Raw genomic sequence first — 3,463 nt, 5'->3', positions numbered from 1 at the left:
TGGAAAAGGCAGAAGAGTCACATTACAGTGGGAAAGCCTTAACCAAATGCTCAAAGCTAATATTCCCCATGATGAGCCATGCTGAGATCACGTGCCCTAGATATGAAGTGAGGAGAAGGGCGCCTCTCGTCTGTGGTTCGCCTCTAACACATATGCCCAGTCTAATCGTCCAAAGACATCAGACAAGCCCAAAATGAGGGACATTCTACAAAATACTTAATCTTCAAAGGTGTCAAGATCCTAAAAAAGGACTAAGAAATGGTCACACGCGGGAGGAGGAAACCTAAGGAGACATGACAATGAAGTGAAACGCAGTGACCGGGATTGGATTCCGAAACAGCAAAAGGACATGAATGGAAAGAGTGGTGAAGAGTGTTTCGTTTAATTAATAGTATTGCACCACTGTCAGTTCCTCAGTGTTGACAAATGTACTGTGGTAACTTAAGATGTTAACGTTAGGGGAAGCTGGGTGAAGCCTATGTGGAACTCTGCATTATCTTTGCAACTTTTCTGTAAACCTAAAATTATTCGAAAATAGAAGTTTATTAAAAACACATCTGTATGGCCAGGTGGGGTGGCTCCCGCCTGTAATCCCAGCACTTTGGGAGGCTGAGGCGGGCAGATCACTTCAGATCAGGAGTTTGAGACTAGCCTGACCAACATGGGGAAACCCCGTCTCTACTAAAAATACAAAAATTAGCCGGGTGAGGTGGCGCATGCCTGTAATCCCAGCTACTCCGGAGGCTGAGACAAGAGAATTGCTTGAACCCGGGAGGTGGAGGTCGCAGTGAGCCGAGATCACGCCACTGCACTCTAGCCTGGGTGACAAAGTGAGACTCTGCCTAAAACAAAAAACAAAACAAAACAAAACATCTCTGAGAGGAAAAAAAGCTGAATCACAGAGGGGAAGAAGGTATGTGCAGTGCACATAACCTACAAAAGACTCCTATTCAGAATGTACAGAGTCCTTACAAATCAACATGAAAAAGGCACTGGAATCAATAGAAAAATAAATGAGTAAAAGAACAGAACAAGCACATTGCAAAATAGGACAGCCAAATGGCCAAGAAACATGAAAAAGTGCCTTGTCTCATTAGGGAACTGTGCATGAATTATTGTTTAAAATATTTGTTTTGTGGCTGTGTTTCTTCTTCGTGCATTCCAATTTTGTGGGAGTTGCAGCTCCTCTGCCTTCCTTCATAGCTGTCACTTTCTCTCTTTGTTTGCCTTTCATTTCGCTCGCCCGTCTAATCCGTTTCCCCCTTCTGGGTTCCGAAGTACTTTCTCGTGCTGCTTCCAGTTTTGTCTTCATTTTTGTGATGATTTAAATTTTGATTCTACTCTTTCCTGGGTTTTGCCAGCTTTCTTTTCATATCCTTCTGTTTTCTCACCATCTCTTTCTTGAGCTGTTACTTAAGTTTAAAAAATTCATGGCAAAATATTTGGATATGCTTTTCATCTGTTCATTGCAACACATTTTTGACAAGTGTTTTTTATCTGCCATTTTTCTCTCATTTTTAGTCTATAATATTTTTGTATAGATTGTGTATAGATCTAAATATTATCCTTCTTTGATGCAGACAAGTTTTTCTTGGACCAGATATTTGCAGGAGGTTCGTAAGAGGTAGGGGCCGGGGCCATTCTAGGCTGACACAAATGAACCTGTGAATTATACATATATTTTAAAAAACAGAATTTGTTTAAACTTTTTCTTTTCTCCGCTCAGCAGGGATAGGAAGGTGTAGAGCTGTCTGCAATGCAAAGTCTTTCTTCTGCTGTTGCGTTAGGGTGTGTATTACTTTCATATTTGTAGTAACAAACACTGCAAACTTAGAACAATGCACATTTGGCTTAAAATAACACAACTTTATATCTTACAGTTCTGTAGATCCAAAAGGGGTCATAGTGGGCAAAATGATTTATGACCCCTTTTGGATCTCCAGAACTGTAAGATATAAAGTGGTGTCAAGATGTTTGCAGGGCTATGTTCCTTCTGGTGGTTCTAGGGGAGAATCCACTTCCTTGTCTTTTTCAGTGCCTGGAGGTCAACGACATCCCTTAGCTTATGGCCTGGTCCTCCATCTTCAAATGCATAAACACAGCATCTCCAGATCTCTCTCTTGGACATTCCTGCCTCTCATAAGAACCCTTGTGATTACATTGGGCCCACCTGGAAAATCCAGGCTAATCTCAGCATCTCAAGATCCTTCATTTAATCATACCTGCGAAGTCCCTTTTGGCAAGTAAAGTAGCGTGTTCACAGGTTTTGGAGATTATAATGAGGACATCTTGGCGGGGGCACTCTTCTGCTGCCTCAGGGGTCACAGTCTGGATTAGGATGCTTATTATATGTGCCCTTGGGTCAATGCCTGAGGAAGGGAGGAGGGGAAGCAGGAATGGGCAGAGGCAGTTGTTGGGCTGGGATGCAGCCTGACAGCCTCTGCTCACCCATGAGGAGGTCCGGGGCCGAAAGGAACAAGAGAGTTGTCTGGGGTTGGGCAGATGTGGTGAACTTTGATACTTCTGCTTCCATTAGTCTTTGGATATGGGTTGCACACAAGCTGATGTGACCTGGATGAGCAGTGGTCCTCAGCTGAAGAAGCCCTGGCGAGGCTGACAGCTCGAGGTCGCCCCTGATGGCACTTGCAGAAGGTGGGACAGGTCCTTCCTCAAAGCAGGGTTTGGGTGGCGCATCTCCATGGGTCCTCTGGACAGACTGCTTCCTACAAAAAGCGCTCATCAGTGTGACTGCACCTTCACCCGCCTCTGCTTCTTGGGATCCGATTCGGTCTTGGGAGGCCCCCTGGGGTCTGCCTCCACTGTTGGAAGTGAGGAGTCCCAGGTTTTCTCTCTGGGCTGCACCCTCATCCTCCTGAGCCACCACTGCCAAGGACTCTCTCCTCTCATCCTGCATGCGCAGTCTTCACTCCATTTGGAGAGGATATTGTTCAGAGACCTATCTGTCTCCTAGCTTCATCAGGTATGGCCACTGTGTTTTGGTTTTCCTTTCTGCTCGATGGTCCAGGGCAATTTCCAAGAAGGTAAGGGGAAAGCCATCTCACACCATAGGATCCAAACTGCTCTCTCCCCTTCTTAGAGAATCAACTTCTCTCCACTCTAGGAGGACAGGAGGCACTGTGACCTGCGCTCGCTCCCGCACCCCACCCTCTGCCACTCCACTTCAAAGGCACGCCATCCCTTGCAACACACAGTCCCAACAATCTGTGTGGCTGGTGCCCTCTGGCCTTACCCCCTCTCCTGGATGATCCTGACTTCTCGTCACTCCATTCCTGGGGCACACACATTATGGTGAGCATAACTTGCAGGCTCCCTCCATCTCCACCTCGCTGTAGACATACCTGAACTCCATCCTGTCTTGGCCTTAGCTGCATCAGGCTTCTGAGATCCCAGACTTGGCATTTCCCCACTGGTCAGCACTGCCTGCATCTCCAGCCTGTCCTTC

This window comes from Homo sapiens, chromosome 7 (genome assembly GCF_000001405.40).
Source record: "Homo sapiens chromosome 7, GRCh38.p14 Primary Assembly".
NCBI lineage: Eukaryota > Metazoa > Chordata > Mammalia > Primates > Hominidae > Homo > Homo sapiens.
Note: the sequence above shows the minus strand (reverse complement) of the source record.